Source organism: Homo sapiens, chromosome 4, assembly GCF_000001405.40.
Source record: "Homo sapiens chromosome 4, GRCh38.p14 Primary Assembly".
In the NCBI taxonomy this organism is placed as follows: Eukaryota; Metazoa; Chordata; class Mammalia; order Primates; family Hominidae; genus Homo; species Homo sapiens.
In genome coordinates, this window is record NC_000004.12 from 169,079,087 (window position 1) to 169,093,196 (window position 14,110).

General features: G+C 43.9%; 1 annotated feature.

The window, feature by feature from the left end:
• Window positions 954–1,013: a silencer, noted in NCBI's record as "silent region_15789". NCBI's record gives its function as "represses an Ori minimal core promoter by ATAC-STARR-seq in GM12878 lymphoblastoid cells {active_cell/tissue: GM12878}" and the evidence as "EXISTENCE:reporter gene assay evidence [ECO:0000049][PMID:35858748]".

Here is a 14,110-nt window from a genome sequence, read left to right on the forward strand (position 1 = left end):
AAGTAGCTACAGGGATGCACCACCACGCCTAGCTAATTTTTGTATTTTTAGTAAAGATGGGGTTTCACCAGGTTGGCCAGGCTGATCTCGAACTCCTGACCTCATGATCCGCACCTCGGTCTCCCAAAGTGCTGGGATTACAGGCGTGAGCCACTGTGCCCCGCCATTTTTTTTTTTTTTTTTTTTTTTTTTTTTTGAGATGGAGTTCTGCTTTTGTTGCCCAGGCTGGAGTGCGATGGCGTGATCTCAGCTCACCACAACCTCGGTCGCCCGGGTTCAAACGATTCTCACCCGCCTCAGCCTCCCAAGTAGCTGGGATTACAGGCATGTGCCACCATGCCCAGCTAATTTTGTACTTTTAGTAGAGAGGGGTTTTCTCCATGTTGGTCAGCTGGTCTCGATCTCTTGACCTCGTGATCCGCCCACCTCGGCCTCCCAAAGTGCTGGGATTACAGGCTTGAGTCACCGCATCCGGCCAAGGACACATCTTAATTCCCCATGATCAGATATGCACAGACTCCCTTCTTTAAGAATAAGCAAGATCACAACAGACAGAAAATCAGCCAGGATGGTGGCTCACGCCTGTAATCCCAGCACTTAGGGAGGCAGAGGCAGGAGGATCGCTTGAGCCCAGGAAGTCAAGACCAGCCTGGGCAACATAGCACGACCCCATTCTCCACAAAAGGGGGGTAAAAGTCAACAGACACAGGAAAAGATTGAACAGTGCAAAGCTGACCGATCTGAAACGCCAGACTAATTGGCCCCTTTCAAAGACCACTGCAAGAAACTGGAGAAATGCTTAGAAAACGTTCACTTTGTATTCTCCGTGAATAATTACAGAAGAGAGAGAGGGAGACACTGCAGGTGGGCCTCCCTCTGTGGCTTCCTCATGGATGCCTGAGTCACCCACAAGCAGAGGAGCAGGGCTGGGCCCGGGTATCGGAGCTGGCGGCAAGACCACATGGGAGAGCCCCACCCTCCGCGCTGCCTGACACTGCATAGGTGGCGACCCTGTGGCAGCTCTGACCGTCCCTTTCTTTTTCATGGTTGTGTGTGATAACTGATCAACCCAGAACGGAAGGAACAGGTGGGAAATGTACAAGCATGGGTCACGGGGTTGGGGGGCCGGACCTTGAGTCACATCAGATAACGCGCCCGTCCCAGGTCTCCCAGCCCACGGTGAAGCCAGCACTGTGAGGCCAGCTTTAGTCTCCCAGCGTTTACACACAGGAACATGCTTTGCAATTTGAGACACACAAATCTGTGGTCTGGACTTGCTATCTTTGAGGATCAGCAAAGAATTGTCTGGCTCCCGGGATGTTTTTGTGCTGCAAAGCAGAAACACAGTTCTGGGTACTTCTCCATTTTGTCCTGTCAGGAAGGAAACATTTTTAAAAGTCACCCCATGTTCATGATCTTGAGAAATCCCCAGCAGAGTTAATAGACATCACAAGAACTGCAGAATCAACAACAATGTGTGTTTCTTTCCTCTCTGTGGCCATGTGCCCAGAGTGAGAGATGTAATATAAGAAGCAGAGAAAATTAGAGATGGAAAAAATCGCAGAGAGGGAATGACTGGCCAAGATGTGAATCCTAATAGCAAATGGAGATGCTTGTAAGCATTCACAGCAGCAAGCACTTGCCGAAATTGCTACTCATACCAGGAGTGTAAGTTCTCCGCACACAATTATGTGAACAGCACAGTAGGTGAGGTGATATGGGACTATTCTCAGAAATGATCTGCTCTTATTTTGCACAAGAAAAATCAATGTAAGGAAAATATTGTCATATTTATCCATCAAACGTCATGCAATGTTCAATGAGATTTTTATATGATTTTAAAGACATCCTTTTTTATATGTCAATCCCCATATGATCTGCCAGCAGGATTTACACATCACTGCACACATTATAGTGAGAACACAGAAATTTTATTTTAACTCTGATTGGGTCTACAAGATCTTTGCATTCTTTTCCTGAAGAAAAATAGCTTTTTCTTTCTTTTTTTTTTTTTTAACAGAAGAGGGGAAAGGGCCAGGATGGCTGCCAAGAACTTCTTGGTTTGGTTCCAAAGCATTTTGAGCAGAATCTCTCAGAATGTCAAATGTAACGTCCCGTTCAGGGATTCAGTGGGATTGTTGGTGATGTGAGAAGAGATTGGGAAATAGAAAGTTCTTTCTCAGTTCTTCTCTCTGCTATAGTAGAGACTGTTGACTTCTACTTCTGGAAACTCCTCTCTTAGCTTCAGGACTTATTCTGATCCTCTCTTCCTACCCTGTTACCAAAGGAAAAAAAGAAAAAAGCTTCTATGACAGTCCTCTTCATGATGCGGTTAACTCTCTGTGTTTTCAAACCACAGCCATTGGTCACTGGCTTGTCCACCTACATATACCCCTTTTCCTTAAGGCAAAGAGTTCGAGATCACCCAACTGGTATTTTTCTGTCACCCTACTTTAACTCAAGATTCATATTTTCAGCTGCCTATAAGACATTTACATTTTAAACTCCTGTCATCATCTCCAACTCAACATTTCCAAAATAAAACATACTACCTTGACCTGGAAATACACTTCCCATACAACTTCTGGATCCCTCCCCACCAACCCCAGCCTGCCACCACTTTTTTTTTTTTTTTTTTTGACAGAGTCTTGCTCTGTTGCCCAGGCTGGAGTGCAGTGGTGTGATCTCGGCTCACCGCAACCTCCACCTCCTGCGTTCAAGCAATTCTCCTGCCTCAGCCTCCCAAGTGGCTGGGACTACAGGTGCCCGCCACCACGCCCAGCTAATTTTTGTATTTTTAGTAGAGGCGGGGTTTTACCATGTTGGCCAGGCTGGTCTCGAACTCCTGACCTCGTGATCCACCTGCCTCGGCCTCCCAAAGTGCTGGGATTACAGGCGTGAGCCAACGTGCTCGGCACCTGCATCCCTTTCAAAGTCTCCACCATTGCCACAGTCATCTTGCTATAAATCTTAGGTGTAATTTTTTTTTTCTCCTCCATTTGCTGTATTCATTTGGCTATCAATTCCTATTGGCTCTTTTTTCTAAAATATTAGTATCTCTTCTAGCTTTACTTTCCTCTCCACTCCTCTGCCACCTGCTGTGGTATAACTCTTTGTGATCGCTTCATGATCTCATCTTGATTCCGCTGGCCCTGCTTCTCTCTCTAACTCCAGTCTCATGTACCAGTGCCTATCTAATCTTTCCGCCATGTCACTTCCATATGCAGAACCCATTAGTAACATCAAGGTAAAACTTCCACTTGGCTTTTTTTTTGGAGGGGGAGGACAGAATCTTGGTCTGTCGCCCAAACTGGAGTGCAGTGGCGCGATCTTGGCTCACTGCAAACTCTGCCTCTTGGGTTCAAGTGATTTTCCAGTCTCAGCCTCCCGAGTAGCTGGGATTACAGGCACCCGCCATCACACCCGGCTAGTTTGTTTTGTTTTGTTTTGTTTTGTTTTGTTTTGTTTGTTTTGAGACGGAGTCTCGGTCTGTCTCCCAGGCTGGAATGCAGTGGCACGATCTTGGCTCACTGCAAGCTCCGCCTCCCGGGTTCACGCCATTCTCCTGCCTCAACCTCCTGAGTAGCTGGGACTACAGGCGCCCGCCACCATGCCCGGCTAATTTATTTATTTATTTTTTAGTAGAGATGGGGTGTCACCCTGTTAGCCAGGATGGTCTCGATCTCCTGACCCCGTGATCCCCCCGCCTCGGCCTTTTTTTTTTTTTAGTAGAGATGGGGTTTTGACATGTTGGCCAGGCTGGTCTCGAACTCCTGACCTCAACTGGCCCACCCGCCTTGGCTCCCAAAGTGCTAGGATTACAGGCCTGAGCCACCACACCCGGCTCACAATACCTTTTACTGTATTAGCCAAACACAAAATGGATTGTGAGAACTCACTCAATAAATCTGTAATTGGTTTTTAAATATAATAGGATAGAACACATGTATATTAATTTTAGGCAAATAAAAAGTATATTTCAGCCCTTTAAGAATGTGAATCTAGCCAGGCGCAGTGGCTTACGCCTGTAATCCCAGCACTTTGGGAGGTCGATGCGGGTGGATCATTTGAGGTCAGGAGTTCGAAACCAGCCTGGCCAACATGGTGAAACCCTGTCTCTACTAAAAATACAAAAATTAGCTGGGCGTGGTGGTACATGCCTGTAATCCCAGCTGCTTGGGAGGCTGAGGCAGGAGAATCGCTTGAACCTGGGAGGTAGAGTTGCAGTGAGTTGAGATCGCGCCACTGCACTCCAGCCTAGGTGACAGAGCGAGACTCTTTCTCAAAAAAAAAAAAAAAAAAAAAATCTGAATCTAAATGGAATAATTTGTCTTTTCCCCACACTGATTTAGCTGTGATGTCCTCTTTTATTATTCCAGAATCCTGATCATGACTTGGTTACAACTAAGACTAAAGAGATAGAAAAGGCCAAAACAAACTACAAAAACAAAAACAAAAAAAAACAATGGCCGGGAGCAGTGGCTCAAGTCTGTAATTCCAGCACTTTGGGAGGCCAAGGTGGAAGGATTGCTTGATCCCAGGGCAACATGGCAAAACCAAGTCTCTACAAAAAATTTAAAAAAAAATTAGCGGGGCATGATGGCATGTGCCTGTCATCCCAGCTACTCAGGAGGCTGAGGTGGGAGGATTGTTGAGCCCAGGAGGTCAAGGCTGCAGTGAGCTGCCTGGGCAACAGAGTGAGACTCTTTCTTTAAAAAAAAAAAAAAAAATGCTTTTCAGATGGGAATTTATGGGGAGTAGTTGAGAATACCATTTCTGGATGAGGACACTTGGACTATTCCAGCGGACATCCAGCTCCATTACCAACACCACCACTGAAGAGAGTGTTGGGGGCTGGGGAGCGGAAGAGAGGAGGGTAGGGTCGGCAGAGATGCAGACATAGGGAGACAGACAGGGAGAAGGTGAGATAAGGGAGAAATAGAAGAAATAATCCAAAACATAGGACTTTTTTTTAGAAGAAAATGTAAAAATGCATTCTCTGGCATAAGGAACAGTTTAGGATCATAGGGTAAGATTTTGATTTTAAATGTTTTGAGGCCATTTTCTTTAGGCCTAAGCCACTGGGTAGATTTAGATGGTGGGAGAGATTATTACAGCTTTCTCATGGGAAGCATTTCCTTTGCGATACCCTCTTCTTGAAAGCTTCACTCACTTCGGTTTTATTATAGGGAATGACTGATAATATGCCAATCCCACACATCTGTCTCAGTGGGTAAATAAATCACAGGAAAGAAGAATTTTGGTTTAAAGGGTAGAAATTCCAGCCCGACTTTGATTTCTGCAACCATCAGCACATCATAGGAATCCCACAATTGCTACCCCAGTAGAATGGGTAGTGCCAGCTATATATGGAGCCTGCCTTATTGCCATGGTGGCCTGTGCCACAGGGGGAGGCAGGCAGCTCACACCTCCTCAGCCCCGCAGGAGCTCAGCAATTCCTTTCCAGGAAGGAATGAAGGAAGGAAGGATCCTTCACTCCTTACCTGGGAATTGTGTCCTTGCAGGTTGCTATTTTTCATGGGCTTGGCTGCTTGAGCACCCTGGGGGCCCATATAATACATGAACCACTTTTCAGCACCATGTCTCTTAAATTATTCTCTGTGTCCATCTATATTTACTGTACAGAGATGGTTTCAACAAACAAGGTGGTCTCATTTGATATGGAGTTAAAGCCAGCAGTTGCTTTGCACAGAAGATCCACAGATTTGGTGGTGCTGTTATTTTTTAATGTTTATCTAAAACATAAAAAGGATTTTACTCATGGGATCCTCACCCACACCCCCCAGTTCTCAGTTAGAATCTGTTTTTAACAGGAGCTCTTACTAAACCTTAGTAAGAAAGGAAAAAAAGAAAGAGGAGTTACAAATTATGACTCCAGGGGCTGGCTGAATTAGCTTATATTAGAGAGTGAGCTGGCGGCAGGTATCAGTCTTTACTGTGTTTCTGCCTCTAGGGAGTTTGTTGAATGTGCTTTTGCGATGTAATTTATAAGGAAATTGGTTTTACCCAAAAGGACGTTTTTGCTTTATGTCTTGCAGCACCGTTGAGTGCTTAGAAAAAAGGAGAAGGTAATTCCATTAAGCTTTCAATTTTCACTGGCAAAAGAAATGAACTAGATGTGATTGGAAAGATAAGGCACTGGCCTTCACTTGAATGACCTTGCTACAGGGGTTGGGGAATAAGAAGCATGGCCTTTGTTCCAGAGATGTCATTTCATGTTTAATTAGAGGGCCAGAGTGCCATTTTTCTTCTTTATAAACCCCAATCTCACCCTGCTGAGAAAATATCCATTAAGTTCACAGTAGGCAGATCATCGGATCATCATCCTAACAATTTTGGGAGTCATGTGCTCATGCTGGTGACGCTTCGTGAACTAAAGAGCATGGGCAGGCCGGGTGTGGTGGCTCACGCCTGTAATCTCAGCTCTTGGGAAGCCAAGGTGGGAGGATCATCTGAGGTCTGGAGTTCAAGACCCCCCAGCTTGGGCAACATGGCAAAACCCCGTTTCTACTAAAAATACAAAAATTAGTCGGGCGTGGTGGCAGACGTCAGTAGTCCCAGCTACTCGGGAGGCTGAGGCAGGAGAATCGCTTGAACCTGGGAGGTGGAGGTTGCAGTGAGCCGAGATTATGCAGTGGCACTCCAGCCTGGGCGACAGAGCAAGCTCCCATTTCAAAAAAAAAAAAAAAAAAAAAAAGCGCGGTCAATGTTAAAATCGAGACATGCATGGAAGAGACAGGCCTGATGTTTGGGAAAGTGCAGATCGCCCTTGCATGGAAGTCAGCAGTCCATTCAGCCAAACCAAAAGGTTTCAGTAGAATTCCCCAATTCTCTTACTGAATCCACTCTCTTCATCTATTTTTTGAAGGACATAAGGCAAAAGTAACTTCAAAATTAAATAAATTGGCTGGGCGCAATGCTCACACCTGTAATCCCGGCACTTTGGGAGGCCAAGGCAGGAGAATTGCTTGAGCCCAGGAGTTTGAGACCAGCCTTGGCAACATGGCAAGACCCAGTCTCTACAAAAAGTTACCTGGGGCGTAGTGACATATGCCTGTAGTTCCAGCTACTCAGGTGGCTGAAGCAGGAAGATCGCTTGAGCCCAGGAGTTCGAGGCTGCAGTGAGCCGTGATGGTGCCACCGCACGCTAGCCTAGGCAACACAGAGAAATCCTATATCAAAAATAAGTAGGCCAGGCATGGTGGCTCACGCCCGTAATCCCAGCACTTTGGGAGGCTGAGGCGGGCAGATCACGAGGTCAGGAAATCAAGAGCATCCTGGCCAATATGGTGAAACCCCATCTCTACTAAAAGTACAAAAATTAGCTGGGTATTGTGGTGTGCGCCTGTAGTCCCAGGTACTCGGGAAGCTGAGGCAGGAGAACTACTTGAACCCGGGAGGCGGAGGTTGCAGTGAGCCAAGATTGTGCCACAGCACTCCAGCCTGGCGACAGAGCGAGACTCTGTCTTAAAGAGAAAAAATAAATAAATAAATAAAATTAAGGAAATAATCTCTGTTGCTCAAAGTTAAGATGTTTTCATGTATCTGGTAGGGTTTCTAACACAATCAAGTTCTAAACTGGTGCCTCCAAATGAGAAGCTGGATACAGTACTGCAATGCTGTGTTTTTGTTTTTCCCTTTTTGTGGGTGATCACTTAAAAATAGAGTTTCGGGAAGGCACGGTGGCTCATGCCTGTAATTCCAGCACTTTAGGAGGCCAAGGCTGGAGGATTACTTGAGGCCGGGAGTTCAAAACCAGCCTTGGTAACATAGCAAGACCCTGTCTCTATACACACACACACACATACAGTATTTTATTCTCTAAAATGGAACTGTCCAAAATGGTAGCCATTAGCTACATGGCTATTTAAATTTAAACTGGGCCAGGTGCACTGGGGCATGCCTGGGGGTCCCAGCCACTTGAGAAGCTGAGTTGGGAGGATCGCTTGAGCCTGGGAGGTCAAGGCTGCAGTGAGCTGTGATTGTGCCACTGCACTCCAGCCTGGGTCCTCATTACCATCCCCCCACCCAAAAAAATAAAAATACAAATAAAGAATAATTTAAACTGATTACAATTAAATCCAATAAAAATTCACTTCCTGGCTTCTTTGGTTTCCTGGTAAAAAAAAAATTCACTTCCTCAGTTACCGCAGCCACATTTCCAGGGTTCAGTAGCCACATGTGGCTAGTTGCTACCATATCGGGCAGCACAGATCTAAAACATCCCCATCACTGTTCCAAGGAGTTCTGTTGGATAGTACTGCTCTAGGAAAGATGGATAAAGTAGTTCTCCTATGCTGACATTTATGTATTCAGAATGCCCATTTATGTAGCAATTCAAATTCAATTTTTAAAATGTCATCAGATTTTTTTTTTTTTTTTTTTTTTTTTGAGACAGAGTCTTGCTCTGTTGCCCAGGCTGGAGTGCAGTGGTGCGATCTCGGCTCACTGCAACCTCCACCTCCTGGGTTCAGGTGATTCTCCTGCCTCAGCCTCCTGAGTAGCTGGGACTACAGGCCCGCACCACCATGCCCGGCTAATTGTTGTTATTTTTAGTAGAGACAGGTTTCATCATGTTAGCCAGGATGGTCTCGATCTCCTGACCTCGTGATCCGCCCACCTCGGCCACCTAAAGTGCTGGGATTACAGGCATGAGCCACGGCACCCAGCCATCAGACTGTTCTAGCTATCAATTAGGCCTTGCGATTTCATGGCCACCTGAATGCAACAGATTGGTCTCCTTCAATGGTGCATCTTCATTGACTCTACCTTCAAATATAATTGAATTCTCTTAAACTTGAGAATCTGCAGAAAGAGCTATAGAAAGCTTATAGTCATAGTGCCAGCAAGGACCCTCTGAATTTCACATCTTACTTGCTTTCTGCTTTGTTGAGAGAAGTCTTGTTTTTCGTTGTTTCTATTCACCCTTCTGCCTGAAGAAGCTCTATTGAGGGGGTGTGGCATTAAGGCTGGAAGGCTGCTTTGTTCCACACGAACCAACAGGAGTGGGCAAGGTCTATGAGCTGATATTTGCCAAGCAGACAACCCTTGCACTTACTCTCTCATCTTCCAATACCTGGATGCCAAGCTACGTGTTGAAGATCTGAGTCTGTTTCCATGGACGTGTAAGTAACGTGCTTAACTAGAACTGCTGACAACCCCTCTGGCAGCTTCTGTACCAGGAGACACAGGAGTGACAGCCACCTGTGGAAGTCCTGCCTTGTTTCAGGTTTGTCCTCAGATGAGATCCCAGTTTGGATGCGTGTACCATAGGTTCACCTTTGGTTGATACTTTTCCTGAACTTCACACCATTGGAAGGAGCCTCTCAGGGGTTCTGCATCTTGGGAATACATGCAGAGGCCCCAGTAGCATCTTACTACTGATTTAGATACATGTCCAATTTATATTGTAAGGCCTTTTTCATGGGTTCCATTGCACCATAAAATATGTCAGTTGGTTCTCAATTTCCCAAATGGCAAAGAAGTAGAAGTTAATCCTTTGTGGAAAGGCAACCTCAGGGCTATCTTGAATCCTTAAAGGTAGTGTGTTCTGAATACTTATTAAAGGAGGAGAAATTCGGTATGACTGTCTAAATGATGTCATTTTTCTGTCTGCTTTTGAACTCAGTCATTAAATAATTAATAATTCTCACCAAAGTGGGTATCCCTTGTTTTCTAAGTTAATTTCAAATATCTCATTTTCCTAAAGCAATTTTAATATTTGTCTCCTCCCTTCTTCACTCTCCCTTCAAATATACAGCTTCCATAGGTCAAGGGCTTTATTTTTGATACAGGAGTTAAGAAGAAATTACTTAGATAGACAGTGAGGGTAGGTAAGTCCTTGGGTGAGGCTTTTATTTTTAATGAAAAACAGCCCCAAATCATTTTTTAACAAAGAGCAGCCTGTAAAATCTAGTTGCAGGCATAGATGCCGGCAGTTGTGCCAATCATGTTCAAGATGGCAGCTCCATCTTCCCTTCTCTTTGTCAGCCACATGTAAAGTAAAGAGGAGACAAGATGGCCCCGGGCCAAGGGAAAAGTTCATTTGCATAATAAGATTAGGGTGGGGTGGCCAGCCTTCCATGCACACTATGCAAACCAATCTGTGAGCCTTATGTAAATCAGACACCGCCACTTCAAACCTGACTATAAAATCCAGCACATCCCCTGCTGGCCGGTCTTTTTCCTCTTGGAAGTCCCCTCTCTCTCACTAGAGAGCTGCTTTCCTTTCTCTTGTCTATTAAACCTCCACTCCTAAACTCCTCGTGAGTGTCTGTGTCCTAATTTTCCTGGGGCGAGAAGACAAACTCCAGGTATTTACCCCAGACAATGTAGCCACTTCACTTTGATGTGTCTGTTTTCTGATGAGACTTTAATGTACTTTAAGTTAGCACAAGGTCCCATCTTCAATGGTAATGCAACCATCATTCCAGTTTCTTTCGAGTGTATCTTTCCAGATATTGTATTCATATAGAAGTTTATTGGTATATATATTCTCTCCCCTCCTTTTACTAAATGGTAGCACACTCTACCTTATCTTTTTTGTTTAGCTATCTCAGAGATGTTTCCATACCCATGCATAAAGAATTTCCTCATTCTTTTTTATGGTTATGCAGTATACTGCTGTATAGATTTACCATAATCCATTTAACCATTTCCATATTGGTAAACATTTAGGTTGTTTCCAATATTTTGCTATTATAAACAACACTGCAAAGAATATGGTACTGTCATTTTACACTTGATGAATAAGTATATTGGAACAAATTCTTAAAAGTAGAATGGGTAAACAACACTTGTAATTTTGGTATTTTCTATCTATATTGCCTTCCCTATACATTGTCATCAGCAAAATACTGAATGTCCCTCATTTAGCCAACATTTCAAATTTTTAGAAATTTCCCATTTTATAGGTAAAAAGTATTTCATTGTTGTTAATTGCATTTACATTACGAATTAGGTGGAACATCTTTTAGTGTATATATATATAAATAATATAGAAATAATATTTACATAAAAAATATATTTTTAATGAACTGTCAGTTTATATTGATACCAGTCAGGTTGGTGGTGGCTAAGACTACAGTAGCTTGGACTCAAGAGGTTTATTCTCAAATAAATCATATTTAAAGATGAGTAGTTCAGGCTGGCATGAAGGCTCAAGTTTACTAGGGTATCATGTTCCTTCCTTCTTTCTCCAACAAATTAGTACATCTCTTGCATCTTAAAAGTCACTGTTATATGTAAAACGTTTATTTAGAAACAGAATGCTTGTTCCTTGGTACTGCAAGGAAAAATCAGCATTCAGACAAAAAGTTCTCTCAGTGAGACAATTTTACTTTCTGCAGAAAGGGTGCTCTTCGCAGATGGAACAATGGCGAGAGCACACCTGAACAAAGGAGGGAAGCAATTTTTATCCCTTACGCAGCTTGTCCCTGCTACTGTGTCCTGTGTCCACTGGCTGGAGCCAGACCGCACAATCTAAACTAAAACCTGACTGGCTAATAATTTAAAACTGTCCTAAATAGGTAAAGGCAAGGGAGAACGAAGGAAAAGAGGAAGTTGCTTATGCCAAATAGGGAAGGGGCATAAGCTGCAAGCTGGAACGTGCCTGTGAGCATGTCTAGCACAAATATCTTGGTTAAGGTACAAAGACATAGAATGTCTTATGTGCCTTGTGAGCATGTCTAACAGCTACATAGGCTAGGGCTTAACAAAGAGTTATTAGCACAAAGCAAGGAGGCTTGGAGGAAGTTAGTCTTTAAATTATTTCTAACATTTATGATTTATTATTATCCTTTAACAAGAAGGGAAACTTTGAAGAGGAAACTATATTTACTTTCTACAATTCTACAATAAATTGCTTTTATTTAGAAAGGGTGCTCTTGCCATTGTTCCATCTGCTAAGAGCACCCTTTCTGCAGAAAGTAAAATTGCCTTGCTGAGAGAACTTTTTGTCTGAATGCTGATTTTTCCTTGTAGTACCTGGGAACAAGCATTCTGTTTCCAACAGTCACCTATGTTCTCACAATAACTATTAAAAAAAAAACTAAAAAAAAATTTTTTTTTAAGTTTTTTTTTTTTTGAGACAGAGTCTTGCTCTTCTTGCCCAGGCTGGAGCGTAGTGGTGCAATCTTGGCTCACTACAACCTTTGCCTCCCGGGTTCAAGTGATTCTCCTGCCTCAGCTTCCCGAGTAGCGGGGATTACAGGCGTGTGCCACCATGCTTGGCTAATTTTTGTATTTTTAGTAGAGACAGGGTTTCATCACGTTGGCCAGGCTGGTCTTGAACTCCTGACCTCAGGCAATCCACCCGCCTCGGCCTCCCAAAATGCTGAGATTACAGGCGTGAGCCACTGCGCCTGGCCTCCTCTCCCTTTTAAGAAGCCTTACCAGAAGTTCCCTGTGATATTTTCATTTGTGTCTCAGCAAGAACTTAGTAACAAGGCTGCACCTAACCTTAAGGGAGACTGGAAAATGAGTTTTTTTGTTTTGTTTTTCCGAGACTGAGTCTGCCTCTGCGGCCCAGGCTGGAGTGCAGTGGGGCGATCTCTACTCACTGTAACCTCCACCTCCGGGTTCAAATGATTCTTGAGCCTCAGCCTCCCAAGTAGCTGGGACTACAGGCATGCACCACCACAGGTGGCTAATTTTTGTATTTTAGTAGAGACGGGGTTTCACAATGTTGGTTGGCCAGGCTGGTCTCAAAACTCCCGACCTCAGGTGATCTGCTTGCCTTGGCCTCCCAAAGTGCTGGGATTACAGGCATGAGCCACCACACCCTGACAAAAATGAGCTTTTTAACTAAGCACAAAGCCCAGATATCAGTTAATAAGAAAAAAGAAAATGAAAATATTCAGAGACAATTGGCAATTTCTTTTTTTTTTTTTTTTTTTTTGAGACGGAGTCTTGCTCTGTCTCCCAGGCTGGAGTGCAGTGGCGCGATCTCGGCTCACTGCAAGCTCCACCTCCCAGGTTCACACCATTCTCCTTCCTCAGCCTCCCGAGCAGCTGGGACTACAGGCACCTGCCACCACGCCCGGCTAATTTTTTGTATTTTTAGTAGAGACGGGGTTTCACCGTGTTAGCCAGGATGGTCTCGATCTCCTGACCTTGTGATCCACCCGCCTCGGCCTCCCAAAGTGCTGGGAATACAGGCTTGAGCCACCGCGCTCGGCCACGACAATTGGCAATTTCTGTCACAAATCCTTGGTTAGTGTTACTTTGGGTTTTTTTTCTTATTTGTAGAAGTTTTTTTTTATATGTAAAGGAAATTATCTCTTTGCCTGCTACAGGACTTACAAATGATTTATTTCATTGTTTATTCTTTTGACTTTGATTATGGTGTTTTGTCATGTAACTATTTTGATATTTTGTACAATTTATCAAGGTTTTCTTTTTTTTACAGTTTCTAAATTTTGAATCATATTTAGGAATGCCCTCTCATGCCAAAGTCTATCATGGCTTCTTCTAGTACTTTCACAAGGATTCAGAGCTTGAAAGATTCAACCCCAAGGTCAGAGACCTCTTGGAACCAAATTTCGTATCTAAGGTGTAGGCAATAGAAGTGGCAGCTGGCTCACTGGTTACTGGCTGGGATAATTCCATTATCTTTGGAGACTTATTAGAATAGTCTGACTCTATAATAGTATTGAATGGGACTCAAAGATTAATGCCACTCGCAGGTGCCTGCAGCATGGTTACAGAGCCTGGATGGCCATAGTACAGTAAGAATTTGCACTGAGTGAGATGCAGGTGGTGTTTCTGAAATGGAAAAGTAGCCAAATCAGAAATTTATTAGTAGGAAACACAAAAGGAATCCAAGGGATGTTCATCTGTAAACCTGAGAGAAGGTATTTTAAAACTGTCGCTGTTCACATTGGCAGGTGACTACTCACTCTAATAGCTCCTTCCTGCCTCTGGTGATACTAATGGACAGGGCAAAGTTCCCCAGCATACCCCATTACAGCCTGCAGCCACAGGGAGTTAGCGAGGGCTACACCCCTTTGCCTGGACATGACTAATCTCTTATAAATATCTTATTGATTTTGGTAGGCTGCTAATTATTTTTCCTGGAAAAAAAGTAATT